Here is a 22,278-nt window from a genome sequence, read left to right as displayed (position 1 = left end):
GGAGAATGACTTGAACCCAGGAGGCGGAGATTGCGGAGAGCCAAGATCGTGCCAGTTCACTCCAGCCTGGGCAACAGAGCAAGACTCTGTCTAAAAAAAAAAAAACAGGTGGGGCGCAGTGGCTCACGCCTGTAATCCTAGCACTTTGGGAGGCTGAGGTGGGCGGATCATGAGGTCAGGCGTTCAAGACGAGCCTGGTTAATGTGGTGAAACCCCATCTCTACTAAAAATACAAACATTAGCTAGGCGTGGCGGTGCACACCTCTAGTCCCAGCTATTTAGGAGGCTGAGGAAGAATTGCTTGAACCCGGGAGGCGGAGGTTGCAGTGAACCGAAATCACGCCACCGCACTCCAGCCTGGGTGACAGAGCGAGGCTCCGTCTTAACAAAAAAAAAAAAAAAAAAAAAAGGAATAAAGTGCTGCATGCTACAATGTGAGTGAACCTTGAAAACATTATGGTAACTTAAAGAAACCAGATGCTAAAAGCTATGCGTTATATATTATCCCATTTATATAAAATGTCCAGAATAGGCAAGTTTACATAGGCAGAAAGTGGATTAGTGGTTGTCTTGGGTAGGGGAAAATGGAGGAAAACAGAGCTACTGCTAATGGTTATGGGGTTTCTTTTTGGACTAATTAAAAAAGGTTCTAAAATTTATTATTTTTCTCTTGTGTTGCTTGTGCTGTTGGTGTCATATTTAAGAAACTACTGCCCAATGCAAGGTCAGTAAGATTTCCAACTACATTTCCTTCTAAGAGTTTTATAGTTTTTTTCTCTTTTTCTTTAAATATTTCTCTCTTTTTTTTTTCCTCCAGCTACTGCAGATCAAAGTTTTAGTTCTTATATTTAGGTCTTTGATCCATTTGGAATTAATTTTTGTATGTGGTGTGAGGTAGGGGTCCAAACCACATTCTTTTCCATATGGATATTCAGTTGTCCCAGTAGCATCTATTGAAAACACTATTCTTTCTCTATTGAATGGTCTTGACACCCTTGTTGAAAATCAGTTGACCATAGATGCATGTGTTTATTTCTGTACTGTCATGAGTATGGTAAATGTGGTGATGGTTGTACAATTCTCAGAATATACTAAAAACCATTCAACTGTTTACTTTGAATGAGTGAATTGTATGGTATGTGAATTATTTCAATAACAGGTTTTTTTTTTTTTTTTTTTTGAGATAGCATCTTGCTCTGTCACCAAGGCTGGAATGCAGTGGTGCTCTCTCAGGTCACTGCAACCTCTGCCTCCTGGGTTCAAGCAATCTTCCCTCCTTGGCCTCTTGAGTAGCTGGGATTACAAGCATTCACCACAACACAACACCTGGCTAATTTTTTTTTCTTCACCTGGCTAATTTTTGTAGTTTTAGTAGAAATGGGTTTTCACAATGTTGGCCAGGCTGGTCTCGAACTCCTGACCTCAAGTGATCAGCCCACACCCAGCCTCAATAAATTTTTTGTTTGTTTGTTCTGAGATGGAGTCTCGCTCTGTTACCCAGGCTAGAGTGCAGTGGCATGATCTTGGCTCACTGCAACCTCCGCCTCCTAGGTTCAAGCGATTCTCCAAGCTCAGCCTCAGCCTCAGCTGGGGCTACAGGCACATGCTACCATGCATGACTAATTTTTGTATTTTTTTTGTAGAGATGGGTTTTCACCATGTTGGCCAGGCTGGTCTTGAACTCCTGACCTCAAGTGATCTGCCCGCCTCAGCCTCCCAAAGTGCTGGGATTATAAGTGTGAGCCACTGAGTCCAGCCAATAATAGTTTTTTGTTTTGTTTTTTAAGAAAAGGTCAGCCGGGCGTGGTGGCTCATGCCTGTAATCCCAGCACTTTGGGAAGCCGAGGCAGGCGAATCACAAGGTCAGGAGATCGAGACTATCCTGGCTAAGATGGTAGAACCCCGTCTCTACTAAAAATACAAAAAAAATTAGCCGGGCATGGTGGTGGGCACCTGTAATCCCAGCTACCTGGGTGGCTGAGGCAGGAGAATGGCGTGAACCCGGAAGGTGGAGCTTGCAGTGAGCTGAGATGGCGCCACTGCACTCCAGCCTGGGCGACAGCACGAGACTCCGTCTCAAAAATAAAAATAAAAATAAAAATAAAATAAAATAATAAAAAAGTCAAGACTGCAGTCAAGCTGGAGTTGTAGCAAAAAAAAAAAAGGTCAAGATTGCAGTCAAGCTGGACATGTAGCATACACACTGTATTTACAACCACTAATATTAATGACTTCACCAAGTTTGTGATATATAAAAAGAGAGTTGGTTCAAGGACTAAGCCTTCGTGCCTTTCAACATTTGAGGTAGAGAGATAAAGAGGAATCTGCAAAGGAGATAAAACCAATGAGAGAGATAGGAAGAAAACTAAGTGAGCATCGTATTCTAGAAGCAGTGAAGACAGTGTTTCAAGGGGAAGGAAATGACCAGCTGGGTAAAATGCAGCCACTTTTCCCAAACTGAGAACTGACAATAGGCTACTGGATTTAGCAGTACAAAGGTCCTCAGTGACCTTGATAAGAGCTGTTTCAATTGAGTGATGAGGGCAAACACCTGAGTGGAGTGGATTCAAGGAGGATGGAAGAAGAAAAATCAGAAAACCAAGAAAAGAGAATTCTTGAGAACTTTTTGTCTTAAAAGAAGTAGCAGGGGCCGGGCACAGAGGCTCACGCCTATAATCCCAGCACTTTGGGAGCCCAAGGTGGGTGGATCACTTGAGGTCAGAAGTTCGAGACTAGCCTGGCCAACATGGTGAAACCCCATCTCTACTAAAAACACAAAAAATTAGCCAGGTGTGATGGCACATGGTTGTAATCCCAGCTACTTGGGAGGCTGAGGCAGGAGAATCACTTGAACCCAGGAGACAGAGGTTGCAGTGAGCCGACATCACGCCATTGCACTCTAGCCTGGGCGTCGAGTGAAACTCCGTCTCAAAAACAAAAAACAAAAAACAAAAAGTACCAGAATGGACTAGTATCTGTAGGGGAAGTAGAATCATGATAAGTTAATTTGTTATTCCTGTTTTCAAGATGGAAGAAATAGCAGCAGTTAGTATGCCAATAGGAATGTACCACTAGAGCGGTAATATTTAGCAGAGAGCAGAGGAAGGTTGGAGCAGCACTCTGGATGGACTCAGGAAGTGGGAATGAAATTTTGTTTGCAAATGGAGGTATTGGCCCTTGCAAGGATCATGTACAACTCATACCTAGTTACAGGAAAGGGGGAAAAGGCAGATATACAAGCACGTGGGTGGATACGGTGGCGAGTGCCATTGTTTTCTCAATGAAATAGGAAGGTCATCAACAAAGGCTAAGAAAGGTGTTTTTAAAAGAGAGGAGAAAGTATGGAAGAGTCCTCTAGGAGGCTGGAGAATGAAGGAACTGTGGAAATACAGCAGGATTCCCAGACAGCATTAGGGGCCTGTTTAAGGTTAGTAATCATGAATTAAGAGTGAGGACAGCGAATGTGCTCAGTGTTTCTTCTAACCCAGGGGCACACCCACAAAGTAGGCAGAGATTTGGATTTAACCAGAGTTGTGATTTAGCCAAGCAAGTGTGACAAGGCAAAAGAGGGGAAGAGGATTGAGAGTGTAGTACATGAGGCAGTCATTATAATGACTGACCATGGAATTTAAGTTGTTTAAGGAGAAAAGTACAGGCATGAGGGCGTGAGGGAAAGGGAGAAGAAAATAGGTTCAATGGGCTGTAGTTCCTGCTGGAGTCAAAGATGGTTGAAAGGACTGATATTATAAACAGCAGATAAATGGAGTCACAGGGGGCAACTCTTATGGCTGACAAGGTAAGAAAATCTACTCCACCATTTTACAAAACTACAAAGAATGTCATAGGCCCAGCTATAGGGCTAAAAAGGATTCCCACAATTCAATTTTTGATGGCCAAACTGATTGCAATTTAATAACAACATGAGATACCATTTATTAGAGCCACAGCACTTTTATTTTCTTTTTTTTTTAAGAGACAGGGTCTTGCTATGTTGCCCAGGCTGGAGTGCAGTGGTGTGATCACAGCTCATTGCAGCCTTGACCTCCTGGGCTCATGCAATCCTCCTGCCTCAGCCTCCCAAAGTGCTGGGATTACAGGAAGGAGCCACTATACATGGCTAGAGCCACACCACTTTCTAGCTATGTAACACTGGCTGAGTTCCCTAACCGCTGGGTCTTGGTTTCCTTATCTGTGAAATAGGAATGTTAACAGGAATCACCTCAAGGGGTGAGGATTCAATAATTGAATGTTAAGCATTTAGAACTGTGCCGGGCACTTAATAAGATGAAATAAATGTCTGTTATTAGTGATATTCTTTTTCTTTCTTTCTTTTTTTTTTTGAGACAGTCTCATTCTGTTGCCCAGGCTGGAGTGCCGCCTCTGGGTTCAAGTGATTCTTGTGCCTCAGCCTCCTGAGTAGCTGGGATTAAAGGCACGCACCACCACGCCAGGCTAATTTTTGCATTTTTAGTAGAGACGGGGTTTCACCACGTTGGCCAGGCTGGTCTCGAACTCCTGGCCTCAAGTAATCTGCCTGCCTCTGCCTCCCAAAGTGCTGGGATTACAGGGGTGAGCCACTGCGCCTGGCCAGAAATATTCTTATTACATACTACTGTTACGATCTACTTTGTTGTATATATTTTTTTAATAACCAAGAAAAACTGCTATGAAAGCAAAAGTCTCAGTAGGGAAGAGTTCAAACACTGAAGTATTAAGCCTGGCTAAGGCTCAAATCATTACAGAATTTTTCCAAGTACTTTTCCTAATCTGCTCCTGTTTCTCCACTTTCTAGAGGCATGAAGGAAATGACACGTCATCCAAAAGGGCTCTGAGCTCAGGGGAACGCTATAAACATTGACCTTGCTGTTGGGTAATGGGTTCAACTTCATTCTAAACTCTTGTTTCCAGGTTCTATGCCAGTACTTTTACTCTTGCCCACACAGTTGCTCAGTCACATGTAACAGCAACAGCTTAAAAAAAAAAATAAATAACCTTAGAATGTTTTTCTTTTTTAGGAATATTTTAAATGTTCGTTTAAACACAGATGAGAGTTCTTTTACAACTCAAATAAGATGCTTAGTTATTGGTCATTTGATTATTCTGCAGATCACTAGAAGAGGGAGGAAAATTCAGGCCCCTGCTGACCTGTCACCTGACTCAAACTATGGGGTTATTGGATCAATCCCACACAAGACCCCTCTGTGGGATCCTATCCCAGACAGATGTATAGGCCTCACCAGCATGCTGCCTATTTAACGGTTTCTGTTGGCAGCACCCCAAGGAAGCAAAAGCACCAGGCTGAGTGCAGACCCATGACTAGCTGCCTCTTGCAGGCCTGACTTAAAATCCCACCCACCCCGTCCCCCCACTGCCTGGTGTTTTCTTTTAGAGCTCTCAGATGTCGATCCAAGATAAAAATTTCTTATGCTCTAGTCTAGCCATTGGCAGAAGCAATCATCCCATCAGAAAGAAAAATGGAAAGAAACAGTGAACTCTGAAACAAGTTAGACACATTCAGATTCTTCAGAACAGAGGGCTGGGAAAGAGAAAGTGGGGCTCCTATGAATCCCCTCTTACGAAATGTCCTCTGCAGTGGGGGTCGAGCTCTTTGCTGGCTTATTATTTAATTGGTCCCTAAGAACAAACTAAGTTTATAGGAGGGGCTATACGATCTTTCCTGTGGTAGTCTTATAACAACTCATAGAGAAATTGTGGCCAAATGGTAGATATGGTCCCTAACAAAGAGCTAAACAGGTATAAGCATTTTGGGGCACAATTTTGGGGGGATAGTCAGGGAGAAGTGTGCTGTGAATAGATTTCACTTCCAGGTACAAGTTTCCAGAAATTACAACAGAAACAAAAACAAAATAAAATAGGCCAGGCGTGGTGGCTCAGTCCTGTAATCCCAGCACTTTGGGAGGCCGAGATGGGCGGATCACAAGGTCAGGAGATCGAGACTATCCTGGCTAACACTGTGAAACCCTATCTCTACTAAAAATACAAAAAAATTAGCCGGGTGTGGTGGCGGGCGCCTGTAGTCCCAGCTACTCAAGAGGCTGAGGCAGGAGAATGGCATGAACCCGGGAGGCAGAGCTTGCAGAGAGCCGAGATGGCGCCACTGCACTCCAGCCTGGGCAACAGAGTGCAACTCTGTCTCAAAAAATAAATTAATTAATTAATTAAATAAAATAATAAAATCCACACATGTACATGGAACAACATGAAACAATGAAGAGGACATTAAATAAGAAAGAGAAGTTGTGAAACAAGCATAATGTGCTTTCTACGGCTTTACACACACCCATTCATCCAGAGGCAAAAATTTGGAGACATATACACCAGAGGGATCATGGGGGAAACTTCCGCTTTCTACATTAATGTTTAAAATCTTCACAGTGAATATTCTGATTATTTTTGTGACCACGAAAGAAGCAGGAAGAACTTTTGTTTCTTAAAAGATTTGCTTAAAAGACAGAAAATACTGATTTGGAAACCACAAAGGTCTGTTGTCTTCTGCTTCTGCACAGCATGTGCGAGTTCAGCCTTTCCAACTCCCTCACCTGCTCCAGGGCTTTCCTTCTTTTGTAACTTCTTCCTCTTCCTTCTGCAAATGCTGCCTCTTTCTAAACCCCTTCCTGTCATCTTACAAGCCATCTTTTTTGTTTGAGATTAATTTCCTGCAGAAAGTCAATCCCAAGCCACTGCTGACAACTCTACAAAAATCACCAGAAAGAAGTAACCCAACTCTTTTCCAACACAAACTACCTTTATCTTTATTCCTATGATTACTGTACTTCTTCATGTGTATATTTACTGAACTTTTACTAGGCACCTAACTCCGTATCATAGGTAATAAACACTCACAATAGACTTTTTAAAAAAACGTTCTCAACTAACATATTTGGCTCATAGTAAGTACTCTGCAATCAGTAACAATATGCCTTCTCTTAACAGTAAACTCCGAGCCTCAATTCCCTAAGCCAAGGACAGTAAACAGGCTTAGTCTCACACATCAACTCCAGCAGTTAGTATGGACTGTGGGCACTTGGAGTACTGTGTTAAGAAGGATTCTGGGCTGGGTGCGGTGGCTCATGCCTGTAATCTCAGCACTTTGGGAGGCCAAGGCAGGTGGATCACCTGAGGTCAGGAGTTCGAGACCAGCCTGGCCAACATGGTGAAACCCCGTTTCTACTAAAAATAAAAAATTAGCCAGGTGTGGTGGCACGCACCTGTAGTCCTAGCTACTGGGGAGGCTGAGTCAGGAGAATCACTTGAACCCAGGAGGTGGAGATTGCAGTGGGCCGAGATCACACCACTGCACTCCAGCATGGGTGACAGAGTAAGACTCTGTCTCAAAAAAAAAAAAGAAAATAAAATAAAAAAAGAAAAGGATTCTGAGCCCCTGTAGGGCTCCATAATAAACAGTGAGGTAAATTATAACAGTGTCAGCCATGGCCAAAGAAAAAGGTTGGGGGTCAGTGGCTCTTCCCTCCTACATAGCTTGTTGGGGCCCAGGCTGGTGTGACCTTTTTTTTTGTTTTTTTTGTTTGTTTGTTTGTTTGATGGAGTTTCGCTCTTTCACCCAGGCTGGAGTGAAGTGGCGTGATCTCAGGTCACTGCAACCTCCACCTCCCGGGTTCAAGAGATTCTCCTGCCTCAGCCTCCCGAGTAGCTGGGATTACAGGTGCCTGCCACCACGCCCAACTAATTTTTGTATTTTTAGTAGAGACGGGGTTTGGCCATGTTGGCCAGGCTGGTCTCCAACTCCTGACGTCAGGTGATCCATCCACCTTGGCCTCCCAAAGTGCCAGGTTTACAGGCGTGAGCCACTGCGTCCGGCCTGGTGTGACTTTCTTAACCTTGGTGTATCTGGAGTCCAGTCACTGTTAAATGATGCTTTATTTAAAGAAGGTGTGGGTATGTGAATGTGGGGGGTAAGGTAGGGGAAGGTATCTTTTCTTGAGAATCTTTAACTGTTCTATAGCAACTCAAAGGAGAATGAGATGGCAATTTAAGGGGGTGGAGAGAAAAGATGAGTTAATTACAAGGAATTTCCAACTTGAGTCAAATTTCAAGTCATAAGAACTTAAGCTGTTTTTCTCCAGTCACCTCACAAACCCATCCTCTCTAGTCTCAGATTAAACAGAGCTGCATAAAATCAATGTAGAAATTTTTCTCCATTTTCCCCAAAGCGTATTCAACATTGGGGGTTCCTGCTTACCTGGTTTCTCCTCTTCCAATTACCAAATTACAGGAAAGAAAAGTCAGCTTGGGATCACCAATGATCCCATAAATCATCCTAAGAATGCAACACCGTCTCTGAATTCTTCCTAAACATAGTTGATGCAGAATGGTATCATGCTAAAGAGAACCTCCTAGACTCTCAGCACAAGGGCAAGTTCACTTGATCCATTTTCTGAAATTACACATTTACCGATTCTCTCTGTACTATAAGAGCACTACGGAAGAGTTTTGAGCAGCACTGTCCAACAGCACTTTCTGCAATGATGGAAATGTTCCAATGACAGCAGTCACTAACCATTTGTGGTTACCGAGCACTGAAAATGTGGCTAGAGTAACTCAGAAATGGAATTTAAATTTTGTTCATTAATTTTCACTAATTTAAATTTATTTATTTATTTTAATTAATTTGTGTTTTTTGTTTTGTTTTTTTTTTGAGACGGAGTCTCGCTTTGTCGCCCAGGCTGGAGTGCAGTGGCACAATCTCGGCTCACTGCAAGCTCCGCCTCCCGGGTTCACGCCATTCTCCTGCCTCAGCCTCCTGAGTAGCTGGGACTTCAGGTGCCCGCCACCATGCCTGGCTAATTTTTTTTTGTATTTTTAGTAGAGACGGGGTTTCACCATGTTAGCCAGGATGGTCTCGATCTCCTGACCTCGTGATCCACCCGCCACAGCCTCCCAAAGTGCTGGGATTACAGGCGTGAGCCACCTCGCTCAGCCAATTAATTATTTTTTAAAAAAATTTTTGAGACAGAGTCTCGCTCTGTCACCCAGGCTGGAGTGCAGTGGCATGATCTCATCTCACTGCAACCTCCGCCTCCTGGGTCCAAGTGATTCTCCTGCCTCAGCCTCCCAAGTAGCTGGGATTACAGGTGCCCACCACCATGCCAGCCCACTCCAGCGTGAGCAACAGAGCGAGACGGATGGATGGACGGACGGAAGGATTAGTGTACTGAAAACAGAGATAAGGAATTACCCATAGTAAAGCATATAAAGAACTGGAAAATACAAAAGAGTTTAAGAAACAGGAAGGCAGACAGAAGGCCCAATATAAAATTTCTAGGATTTTCAAAAGGAGGGATGGGAAAGAATAAAAGAAAGGTAAAATTTGAAGAGATAACTAGATGATAATTTCTTAGGTGCTGTGAAACACATGATATTTGATATTCAAGGACAAATAGCAAACAGATGTATAAAAATAAATTAAATCCGGAACATATGACAGTAAATTTGGAGAGCACCATGAGTAAAGACAAGATAAAGCAGCCAAGAGAAAAAAACATTAACTCTAAGAGTTGAGAAGACTTTTCAAATGCAGTAATATCAAAAGCTAGAAGATAATGAAACACAATAACATCATCTAATTGCTGAGAAACAGTAACTGCCAACCCAGACTTTTATAACTAGCTAAATTATCCAATGGTTATGACAAATAAAAACACTTTTAGGTAAGCAAAAAGAGTTTAGCACCAATAGACTCTCACTAAAAAACAGTGTTAAAGCCTACCTCTGGAAGAAGGAAATTTAACTCAAAAGGATGAAGTATGATAAAAGAAGGAAGGGAAGGCAAAAAAGTTGGCAAGCAGGTGAGTGAATTCAAATAAGCAGACTTCATCAAATAAGAATAGCAACAACTAATTCCAGGGTATAAAAGCAAAGGGGAAGGCCAGGCGCCTGGCTCACGCCTGTAATCCCAGCATCGTGGGAGGCCGAGGCAGATGGATCACTTGAGGTCAGGAGTTTGAGACCAGCCTGGCCAACGTGGTGAAAGAGTCTCTACTAAAAACACAGAAATTAGCCCGGCATGGTGGCACACACTTGTGATCCCAGCTACTTGCGAGGCTGAGGCAGGAGAATCACTTGAACCCGGGAGGTGGACGTTGCACTGAGCTGAGACCGCCCCATTGCACTCCAGCCTGGGCAACAAAAGCAAAACTCCACCTCAAAAACAAACAAACAAACAAAACAAGGTAGAATTGTAATACCGATCCACAGCAATGTGTAAGACAAACTGTGGATTTCTATTTGGGAAGAGAGTAGAGATATTGATTTAAGATTTTAATGAAGCATGCAAGCCAAAAATTTAAGAGTAGCCTGTAACAGAACTGAAAGTTTCCAAATGGTAGAATAATGAAACCCTTTCTAAGAAAAGACTGAAGGGGCCGGGCGCGGTGGCTCACGCCTGTAATCCCAGCACTTTGGGAGGCCGAGGGCAGCGGATCATGAGGTCAGGAGATCGAGACCTTCCTGGCTAACACGGTGAAACCTTGTCTCCACTAAAAATACAAAAAAATTAGCTGGGTGTGGTGGCGAGCGCCTGTAGTCCCAGCTACTTGGGAGGCTGAAGCAAGAGAATGGCGTGAACCTGGGAGGCGGGGCCTGCAGTGAGCCAAGATCGCGCCACTGAACTCCAGCCTGGGTGACACAGCGAGACTCCATCTCAAAAAAAAAGAAAAGAAAAGAAAAGAAAAGACTGAAAAGGAGAAAAATGCAAACAAAACATGGTCAATAGCACAAAGTAAGATATGAAATAATAATGTATTTAATGATATTAAATAAATTACATAAGGTATCAAATGAGATATTAAGATAATACACAATTGCTATCATAATACTTTTAAATGGGTTAAACATGCCAATCAAAAGACAGTCTCAAAATAGGCTGGAAAAAAATCCAACTATATGTCATTCACAGGAGATACACCTAAGACATTAGGACATAGAGAAAAAGAAAAGGGATAAGAAAAGATGTAGCAGGCAAATATTTACAAAAAGAAAGCTGACATTAATACCAGACAAAAAAAGACCATGAGAAAAAGTACTGTTAGGGATAAAGATGCTCTCTACAATTCTCTAGGAAACAATTCTAAAGAGAACTTCAAATTATATGCAGACACGTTTGACAAAATTATGAAGAGAAGTTCACAAATTCAGTCATTAAAAAAAAACTTTAACATAGTTCTCTCTGGAATTGTTAAATCAAGAACACCTGGCTGGGCGCGGTGGCTCACACCTGTAATCCCAGCACTTTGGGAGGCCAAGGTGGGAGGATCGCCTGAGCCCAGCCTGGGCAACATGGCGAACCCCCATCTCTATAAAAAACACAAAAATTAGCAGGGTGTGGTGGTGTGTGCCTGTGGTTCTAGCTACTCGGGAGGCTGAGGCAGGAGGATCGCTTGAGTCCAAGAGTTTGAGGCTGCAGTGAGCCGCGACTGCACCACTGCACTCCAGCCTGGGCAACAAAGCAAGACCCTGTCTCAACAAACAAACAAACAAAACAAAACAGAACAAAACAAAAATCAAAAGTTGGTAAAATATGGAAGATTTGGACAACATAACTGATAAGCTTGATGTAAGGACATACAGAATAAAACTTCACCCAACATTTTTATTTTTCTGCGTTCCCCAACCCCCTCACCCAACAGTTGTTATACAAACTTCTAAAGTACAAATGAAATATTTATGAAAACTGACTGTGTAGTATGCCACAAATTAAGTATAAATAAAAACGAAACAATCAGTATCATACAGACTGTTCTGTGATTATCATGCAATTAAGTTAGAGGCCAACTTAAAAAAAATTTGAAAATACTACAGTTATGTCTTTGCACTCCAGCATGGGAAGACCCTGTCTCAAGAAAATAAATAAAAAGCTGTATTTTGTCCAGGCATGGTGACTCATACCTGTACTCTCAGCACTTTGGGAGGCCAAGGTGAGAAGATCGCTTGAGACTGGGAGTTCACGACCAGCCTGAGCAACACAGTAGTCTCTACAAAAAAAAAACCCATAGTAGTCTCTACCAAAAAAAAAGCTATATTAATCTTTTTGTTTGTTTTTTGAGACGTCTCACTCTGTCTCCCAGGCTGGAATGCAGTGACACCATCTCAGCTCACTGCAACCTCCGCCTCCTGGGTTCAAGCAGTCATCCTGCCTCAACCTCCTGAGTAGCTGGGATTACAGTCACGCGCCACCACGCCCGGCTAACTTTTATATTTTCAGTAGAGACAGGGTTTCATCATGTTAGCCAGGCTGGTCTTGAACTCCTGAACTCAAATGATCCGCCTGCCTCAGCCTCCCAAAGTGCTGGGATTACAGGCGTGAGCCACCAAGCCTTGCCTTATTAATCTTAGTAAGAGAAGAAAAAGACAGTATAACAAAATTATGAGTGAAATTTTATGACATATGTGCAAAAATCCAAAGGAGAATATTAACGTATTAAATCTGGAAATGTATTAAAAAAATACATCACAACCAAGCAGGATTAATTTCAAGAATATAAGGATAATTTAACATTAGAAAATCTATTAACATAATTCAAATCATTTACAACTGAAAGGAGAAAGCCCAGATGATCATCTGAATAAATACAAGGAAAACTGTTGATAAAATTGCTGTTTGTGATAATTTAGCAAAGTAGGAATAAAAGAGAATAAAGGCAATATACCAAAAACATATGTGATGCTTCCAAAAGCAGGAAACATTCCCTTTAAAAAAAAGCAGGAGAAAAATAAGGATTCCCATGATCATAGATTCTAATACGATTTTTACTGGAGGAACTAGCCAGCAATCTTAAAATAAGAAAGAAAAGTAACACAAAAGAGGATTACAAAAGAGGAAACAAAACAGTCATTATTTGCAAAGGGTGTGATTCTCTGAATTTTCTGTCGATATTTCTCATTAAAACTATGAAACCTACAAGAGCATAACAAGAAACCCGAAACAATTATAAACAATTTTAAAAGCTACTATTAACAGTAAGGACCAAAACTATAGGGTATCCTAACAAAAGGAATTCAAGATCTTCAAAAAAATCATAAAGCTTTATCCAGTGACATTAAATATTAACAGCTTACATTACTGATCACTTACTACCTGCTGGGCACTGTTGTGAGTGATGTGGATATGCTACAAACTCATTTGATTCATATGAGTCCTATATGATAGACACTGTTATTATTGTTAGCTTCACTTTAGAGGTAAAGAAATTAAGGCACAGGTTGTTAGGTCACTTGCCCAAGCTTCCAAAACCAAAAATTAGCAACACTGGGATTCACACCAAAGACAGTCTGGTGCCAAGCCTGTGACCTTAACTACTACCCTATACTGTCTCTCCCAAGAGAGGGTGTCCCATTCCTCCAATAAAGGCATCTCTGGCTCAGCTGAGCCAAACTTCCAGAAGCCATTCTTGTGTCATCCTGATGCCAACTTGATTTGAATTATCTACCCTACAACTGTCTAAGAAGCCCTTCTTTCAACAGATTGGATCCAAGCACCTTGGGAGCAGAGAGTGGCAGTGGATTTATTTCTGTTCACATAAGGATACAGACCAACAATGATTAAAGGAGATCTCAGTTTTAGGCCTAGTCTAAGTGACACCATGTCACTTTTAAGATCACATGGCTCTCCAATTCCCAGGAGCAGATCAATATAGATTTCTTAAACTTGAAAAGTTGTATTTATTAAGATCTTAAGCTGCTTTCCAGACTCAAGAACATAATGGATGTCAATGATTTATCTTTCTGATAACCTTTGAGAATTCTGGGAGATGGATATGTAATATTTATTTGTATAAGTTCTGCAACTTTTCTGTAAGTCTGAAATTATTTCCAAAAATTTTAAATGTAAATAAAATGTTTAAAATTTTTATTTTTATATCTGTAAATCAATTCTATCAGATTCATGGATAAGCCCAAATTTACAAAAATGGCTTATTGATAAACTCAATTTAATTCTAATAAATATCCTAACAGTTTTTTCTCCTCACAGAAAGTTAACAAAGCTGATTCTAAAATTTATCTGGAAGCACAAAGTGCCAAAAATAGCTAACCAGTTTTTGTTGTTTTTACTGTTGTTGTCTGTAACATACAGAACTGTTTACTCTGCTGTTTGCAATACAAAGACATCAGGAAATGTTATTGTTTGTGCAATATAGTAGGGAAAAAAATGAAACTGCCCATTAGGGTGGGTTTGCCAGATGTCCTATCATTAAAAAAGAATACCAGCTTTAAACAGAGCAGTTCCTGGTACTCTGTACTTCACTGTGTTTATTCTATCTGGATTCCCTTATTTGTCCCTTAGAAAGATTCAGTTAGCCAACACAGTTTTGCCCTTCCATGTAGCAAGACCTATTACAAAACGATAGTAAATAAAACAGTAGGCCGGCCGCGGTGGCTCACGCCTGTAATCCCAGCACTCTGGGAGGCCGAGGCAGGTGAATCACCTGAGGTCAGGAGTTCGAGACCAGCCTGACCAACATGGTGAAACCCCATCTCTACTCATACAAAAAAAAAAAAAAAAAAAAGCCAGGCATGGTGACAGACGCCTGTAGTCCCAGCTACTCTGGAGGCTATGGCATGAGAATTGCTTGAACCCGGGAGGCAGACGTTGCAGTCAGTCGAGATCAGGCCACTGCACTCCGGCCTGGGTGACAGAGCAAGACTCTGTCTCAAAAAATAAAAATAGGCTGGGTGCAGTGGCTCAAGCCTGTAATCCCAGCACTTTGGAAGGCCAAGGCAGGCAGATCACTTGAGGTCAGGAGTACAAGACCAGCCTGGCCAACATGGTGAGACCATGTCTCTACTAAAACTACAGAAAATTAGTAGGGTGTGGTGGCGTGTGCCTGTAATCCCAGCTACTCGGGAGGCTGAGGTGGGAGAATTGCTTGAACCCGGGAGGTGGAGGTTGCAGTGAGCCGAGATAACGCCACTGCACTCCAGCCTGGGCGACAGAGTGAGACTCCGTCTCAAAAATAAAAAAATAAAAATAAAAGAGTATTAGCGGCCGGGCGCGGTGGCTCATGCCTGTAATCCCAGCACTTTGGGAGACCGAGGCGGTGGACGGGTCACGAGGTCAGGAGATCAAGACCATCCTGGCTAACACGGTGAAACCCCGTCTCTACTAAAAATACAAAAAATTAGCTGGGTGTGGTGGCAGGCGCCTGTAGTCCCAGCTACTCGGGAGGCTGAGGGAGGAGAATGGTATGAACCCGGGAGGCGGAGCTTGCAGTGAGAGGAGATCGCGCCATTGCATTCCAGCCTGGGTGGACAGAGCAACACTCCGTCTCAAAAAAAAAAAAAAAAGAAAAGAAAAGCGTATTAGCACAAGGATAGATGACTTTACTACTCCTCAAATGCTGCTGAGAGAGCTGGTTATTCACATATGGAAAAATATATATATCCCTATCTTGCCCCATTCTAATTTAATTATAGGCTGGGAGCTGTGGCTCACGTCTATTATCCCAGTACTTTGAATCAGTCGGATATGGCGGTGCACACCTGTAGTCCCAGCTACCCAGGAGACTGAGGTGGGAGGACTATCTGACTCCAGGAGTTTCAGGCTGCAGTAAGCGGTGATGGCGCCACTACAGTCCAGCCTGGGCAACAGAGTGAGATCCTGTCTTGAGACTAAATACACGATTTTTTTTTAAAGACAGAATTTCACTCTTGTTGCCCAGGCTGGAGTGCAATGGTGCAATCTCGGCTCACCACGACCTCCACCTCCCAGGTTCAAACGATTCTCCTGCCTCAGCCTCCTGAGTAGCTGGGATTACAAGCATGTGCCACCACGCCCAGCTCATTTTGTATTTTTAGTAGAGATGAGGTTTGTCCATGTTGGTCAAGCTGGTCTCGAACCGCCTCGGCCTCCCAAAGTGCTGGGATTACAGGCATGAGCTACCTCGCCCGGCCAATAAACCTTTTTTTTAATTACCCATGGATTAAGGATTTAAATACAAAGTGCAAATTTTTAAAACTTTTAGAAGAAAACATAACATCTTTATGACCTCAGGTAAATAAAATATTTCTTAACACATAAAATGCATAAGCCATAAGAGAAAATACTTGAATATTCAGTTATTTCAAAATTAAGTAACCATAAGAAATCACAAAGAGAATAAAGAGATAAGCCACAAACTGAGAGAAGACACATCTACATTACATATGACAACAAAGAATTATTATCCACAGACAAAACAAAAACAAATTCGTACAAACCAGTAAGAAACAGTTAAACCACCCAATATAAACATGAATCAAAGACATGAACAAGTATTTCACAGAAGAAACACAATGATTAAACATACAATATTAATACATTAATTATAGATAAATATATTATCAAATATATAAATAACAAATAAAATCACAATATTATACTATTTATACCCACTAGAGCTTGGCAAAAATTAAGGTATGACAATATCAAATTTTGGCAAGGACACAGAACAAGCAAAAATATGTTATTTCAGGAGTGTAAACTGGTATAAGCACATTGGGGATTTACTGGGCAATATTTAATTATGAGTTGAAGATACACACACATGCACGCATGCACACATACACATACCCTGTAACCCCACTATTTCATGACTAAGGATGTACCCTAGAAAAACTCATTCACGTATGTAATGAAACAAAATTTTCAAAAACTAAAAATAACTTTAATATCCACTGATAACAGAATAGATCAATAGATCAATAAATAGATCAATAGAGTATAGCTGTGAAAATAAATGTGCTATAGCAATAAGTAGTAAAATGAATTTATATACTACCTCCATTTTGAGGTAGCATATATACACACACACACCTCATAATATCTTTCTCCTTCCATGTCTATACAGTTTACATGAAGTTTACAGAAAACAAATGGTGTTTTGGATAGCTACAGGGAGCAAAAGCATGAACATATATGGCGGGAAAAACACGAGTGAGGGCAGTCGTTCCCTTTGGAGAGGGAAAGAGAAAATGGGAATAAGCCAGGGTACATACAATTATACCTGTAATGTTTTAGTTATTATAATCTGCTTGGTAGGTGAGCATATTATCTTTCTTGAATGCCTAAAATATTTCATTTTTAAAAAAATAATTCCAGGCTAGGCGCGGCAGCTCACACCTCTAATCCCAGCACTTTGGGAAGATAAGGCGGGTGGATCATCTGAGGTCAGGAGTTCAAGACCGGCCTGGCCAACACGGTGAAACACGGCCTCTACTAAAAATACAAAAAATTAGTCGGGTGTGGTGGTGTTTGCCTGTAATCCCAACTACTCGGGAGGCTGAGGCAGGAGAATTACTTGAACCTGGGAGGCAGAGGTTGCAGTGAGCCAAAACCACACCACTGCCCCCTAGCCTGGGCGATACAGTGAGACTCCGTCTCGAAAAAAAAAATAAAATTAAATTAAAAATAAATAAATAAATAATTCCAAGACACCAAAGAGTTCCCATTTTCAGAGTCACACAGCTATTTGAGTTCCTGAAATGTACAAGTGAACCAAATTGAAATAGCACAAATCTCTGACTTTTCCATTTAGTAACCGCAGGACTAAAACTTCAGAGTTCATTACTAAAACTGAATGGACAGGCCTGGCGCGGTGGCTCACGCCTGTAATCCCAGCACTCTGGGAGGCCAAGGCGGGTGGATCACGAGGTCAACAGATTGAGACCATCCTGGCTAACATGGTAAAACCCCATCTCTCCTAAAAATACAAAAATTAGCTAGGCATGGTGGCATGCACCTGCAGTCCCAGCTACTCGGGAGGCTGAGGCAGAAGAATCGCTTGAACCCGGGAGGCAGAGGTTGCAGTGAGCTGAGATCACGCCACTGCACTCCAGCCTGGCGACAGAGTGAGACTCCATCTCGGAAAAAAAAAAAAAATTGAATGGACAGAAAAAGTAAGAGTCAGGGCTCCAGGCTGGAACTCATGATAAGACTTACCCTGTGGGCCCTCAAGTAAAGAGACAGAGAAGTAATTCTTACTCCTTTATAAAGGTGATCATCACTTTTCTCTGTGTTCTGAACTCCTTAGGCAAAAGATACTTTATAATTACTTGTATGCTGTCATATGAAAGTGTTGAACCTCTACTATATAACCTAAGAAAAATTGGTCCTTTCTGAACAGAGGTTCCTAATTGCTTTTTCCTTGTTTGAAGGAGTTAAAAGTCATTGTTGAAGGATGTATCTCTAATCCTACAGAACTGATGCCTTCAAGAAAACTCACTCCCACAATTCTCTCTCCTGGTTCCATGCCTGTGCCCTTTATTATGTTTTGCTGGCTCTTATGCATCAAATGCTCACTTCCTGTTTCCCCTTTATTGAGCTCTGGAGACCTGGAACCGGTAACAGGCTTTGAAGAAAAGTACAAAGCCAGGAAAACACAGAAGACAGGCCATGACTCTCCAAAGGAAAGCAAATCTTAACACATTTCTAATAACCGTTCAGCCCTTCCCGTCTGTAGCTTATGTAAGATAGTGGTTCAGACATGAGTCCCGAGAAACTGTAAATAATGAAGTTGAAAACAGCTAAAACTCACGCTAGGTTGGCAGAAAAGTTTAAGACAGGCAACTGAGATTTGATATCATAATTCTGGCTTGTTCTAAGCTCTCAGTATCCCTAAATGTTTCATTTTCACTATGCCACAAGGAGGCTGACTGGGTGGCGTCTCCTCTGGGCGCCACTCTAAATGCTTTAGACCTAAAATCTTAGAAGAGCACAGACGACCTTATATGAATCCACTTTTTGTAAAGTGTGCCATGATCAGTGCCAAGCACCAAGCTGACCATATGGAAAAGGGGGGCACAGACAGTAAGGAAATTCCCCATGACCTCTAGATTCTCATCATTAGGTCCACAGCCATCCTTTAATCCAGAAAGCTGATGTTCTGCCTATAAATGGCTTCTGGCTCTCTAACCCAAGGCCTCCTTCCATCTCATGATCCTTTTACACTACAACGGTGTTTTAATTGAAACTCCAGTCTCACTGGTCATGCTACTGCAGCAATTCACTGAGCACAGGCTTCTCTGTTCTATTCTGCTGTCCTGCACTTTGAATTCAGGGCTTGGTGTCAGCATGGAAAGCACCAGCGTTCTGATATGGCAGCCTTTGGTTATGTTCCCCTCAAGGGATTTATCATCCACAACCTACTCAAATCCCTCCCCCAACAGCTACCAAAAATTCCCCTGGTGAGAAATGCTATTATGAGAAGGGGTGGTGGCTGCTTTATGACTCACACTGTTTCATTAAAAAGATTTTTTTTTCAAACAAATTTTCAGTAGAGGAATCCAAAGGTTTTCCAAAGCCACAGCAAAACAGAACAGCTCATAATACTATTTCTCAAAGGTCTGCCACTTCATAGGAGATTCCTATACCTCAAAAAACTGGAGACATTTAGATTCACTATCCTTTTGTGCTGCCCTTGGCCTCTGGGTTGAGGAAGCAAGTAGGAAATGGATCAATTAAACACAGCCAACATGACTGGGCTCGTCAGATATTAAGATGGATGGCAGCTAGCTTGCAAGTCAGCCCTTATCACAGGTCTTAAGACTTGCTTATAGCTTTCCAGGGCACTGGCTGCAATGGCATGAATGTTTCAGTCATAGCTAACCAGAGTTGAGGAAATCTAATAATATAGGATGTACATGGGTATTTAGGAACACTTGTTATAGCAGCAGGCAGAGCTATAAAAAAGTGTCTTTGGCCAGGCATGGTGGCGTGTGCCCACAGTCCCAGCTACTCAGGAGGCTAGGGTAGGAGGATGTCTTAAGCCCAGGAGTTCATGTCCAGCCTGGGCAACATAGTGAGACCTTGTCTCTGAAAAAAAGTTTGTTTTTAGTTAAAAAATAAAAGTTTCTTCGAAAAGCTGACTTAAATGCTGTTATACTTTTGATATTAAATGGTTACACCATTTAGATCATTTACACAATCTAAATGGACTAGAACAATATTACAGAAAACTAATTTGTTAGGTTGGAATCCCAAGGGCTCCCTCAAATCCTTGTAGGATTCCCAGAATACTCAGGCAGGCAGCAGGATAAAAGAATCTTAATGGCTCTCTCCAAAAAAGGCACCTTCTCCACAGGGAAAAGGTTATTTAAGATGGAAACAAAATGAAAAGATCTCCAAAAAGCTAAGAAGTATGTGCAAAATGACCACGTCAGATGAGGCCTGTGATCTTAGGTTCTCCTACCTCTGTTCCTGAATCCAGGTTAAAGCTTCTCCCAGCTGGGCATGGTGGCTCACGCCTGCAATCCCAGCACTCTGGGAGGCCAAGGTGGGCGGATCACTTGAGGTCAGGAGTTCAAGACCAGCCTGGCCAATTGGCGAAACCCCATCTCTACTAAAAGTACAAAATTAGCCGGCTGTGGTGGCACATGCCTGTAATTCCAGCTACTTGGGAGGCTGAAGCAAGAGAATTGCTTGAGCCCAGGAGGCAGAGGTTGCAGTGAGTGGAGATCATGCCACTGCACTCCAGCCTGGTGACAGAGCGAGACTCCTCAAAAAAAAAAAAACAAAAAAACAAAAAAAAACAGTACAGTACAGAGGTGACTAATTTCAGAACAACTCTTTATGAAGTATGGATTAATTACTTTTCAGAGGGCTCAAGCTACTACCAACAAGAAAGTTGGAGCACTCCTATGACAAGTCTGATTCACCAAGACCAAGATGAGAGACCATACATACCTAAATACGAAGTGAAATTTCTCCAAAAATTATCCTTCTGAAAGTAAGGCACTACCAACAGCCAAAGTACTCATAAAATCTCTTGGCATGAGACAATTCGTTAAATTCTTTATTTTGAGCAAAATGTACTCAAATATAACACAGATTTATTACTTATTCCCGAGGGGAATACATTACAGTCACTAGTGTTGGCTATCATAAACAAGGCTTTAAAAAGTTTCTTAAAACTGCACTAAAATCAACAACGAAAGAAAAAAGCAACCCAGGCCGGGTGTGGTGGCTCACACCTGTAATCCCTGCACTTTGGGAGGCTGAGGCGGGTGGATCACCTGAGGCCAGGAGTTCGAGACCAGCCTGGCCAATATGGTGAAACCTTGTCTCTACTAAAAATACAAAAATTAGCAGGGCATGATGGTAGGCGCCTATAATCCCAGCTACTCTGGAGGCTGAGGCAGGAGAATCGCTTGAACCCGGGGGGCAGAGGTTGTAGTGAGCTGAGACTGAACCACTGCACTTCAGCCTGGGCAACAGGGCAAAACTCCGTATCAAAAGAAAAGAAAAGAGGCAACCTGATTCAAACATGGACATATAAATAGATTATTTCTCCAAAAAAGATATACAAATGGCCAATAAACACATGAAAAGATGCTCAATATCACTAATTCATTAGAGAAATGCAAATGAATACTATGGGATACTACCTCACATCCATTAAGATGGCTACTATTAAAAAAAAAAACAGAAAATAACAAGTATTGGCAAGGATGTGGAGAAACTGGAAGCCTGTGCACTGTTGGTAGGAATATAAAATGGTGCAGCTACTGTGGAAAACAGTATGGTGGTTCCTCAAAAAATTAAAAATAGAATCACCAAATGATGGAGCAATTCCACTTCTGGGTATATTCTCAAAAGGAGTGAAAGCAGGGTCTTGAAGAGATATTAAGAAATTCACATTTCTAACAATGAATTACAGCTATTTACAATAGCTAAAATATGGAAGCAACCCAAGCGTCCAGCAACAGATGAATGGAAAAGTAAAACGTGGTAGACAGACAATGGAATACGATTCAACCTTTAAAAGAAAGGAAATTCTGAAATATGCTACAATGCAGATGAACCTTGAGGACACTACGCTAAGTGAAATAGGACAGCCACAAAAAGACAAATACTGTACGAGTCCACTTACATGCAGTACTTAGAATACCACTGAACTGTACACTTAAAAACGGTTAAGATAGTAAATTTTGTTACATATATTTTATGACAGTTAAAAAAACAAAACAAAACTGGGGAGGTGGGGGAGAGGGGAGCCAGCACAGAAGTGTAGATGTTGTGAAGTTCAGAGACATAGACTTATAATACCAAGGATGAAATTTCCTTATGGGTATTTGTGGCTTGGGATAAATTTTACAGAGACAGATTTAAAAAGTGGTGAATCATGCTTCTAGAAAATAGTGTTCAATGACCAGAAAGAAAAGTGGCTCTAGGGATGACAAAGATACTGAAATTAAAGATGCACATGAAGAGTCTGAAAATCAGTTTTTCTTTTGATATTCTCACTGAGAGGACAGAGGACCCCTCAT

The 22,278-nt window shown here is 41.7% G+C and overlaps 1 protein-coding gene across 3 annotated transcripts in view, besides 3 other annotated features; it reads right to left on the bottom strand.

Annotated features, from left to right (window-relative positions):
• Positions 1–22,278, bottom strand: part of ZNRF1 (zinc and ring finger 1) — a 111,971-nt gene that overhangs the window by 79,752 nt on the left and 9,941 nt on the right. The gene's annotated exons all lie outside the window — the stretch shown is intronic.
• Positions 1,225–1,364: an enhancer, noted in NCBI's record as "active region_11116". NCBI's record gives its function as "activates an Ori minimal core promoter by ATAC-STARR-seq in GM12878 lymphoblastoid cells {active_cell/tissue: GM12878}" and the evidence as "EXISTENCE:reporter gene assay evidence [ECO:0000049][PMID:35858748]".
• Positions 18,914–19,003: an enhancer, noted in NCBI's record as "active region_11115". NCBI's record gives its function as "activates an Ori minimal core promoter by ATAC-STARR-seq in GM12878 lymphoblastoid cells {active_cell/tissue: GM12878}" and the evidence as "EXISTENCE:reporter gene assay evidence [ECO:0000049][PMID:35858748]".
• Positions 19,314–19,423: an enhancer, noted in NCBI's record as "active region_11114". NCBI's record gives its function as "activates an Ori minimal core promoter by ATAC-STARR-seq in GM12878 lymphoblastoid cells {active_cell/tissue: GM12878}" and the evidence as "EXISTENCE:reporter gene assay evidence [ECO:0000049][PMID:35858748]".

The sequence above is a fragment of the Homo sapiens genome, chromosome 16 (genome assembly GCF_000001405.40).
Source record: "Homo sapiens chromosome 16, GRCh38.p14 Primary Assembly".
Taxonomy (NCBI): Eukaryota; Metazoa; Chordata; class Mammalia; order Primates; family Hominidae; genus Homo; species Homo sapiens.
This window is presented reverse-complemented; position numbering and strand designations above follow the sequence as displayed.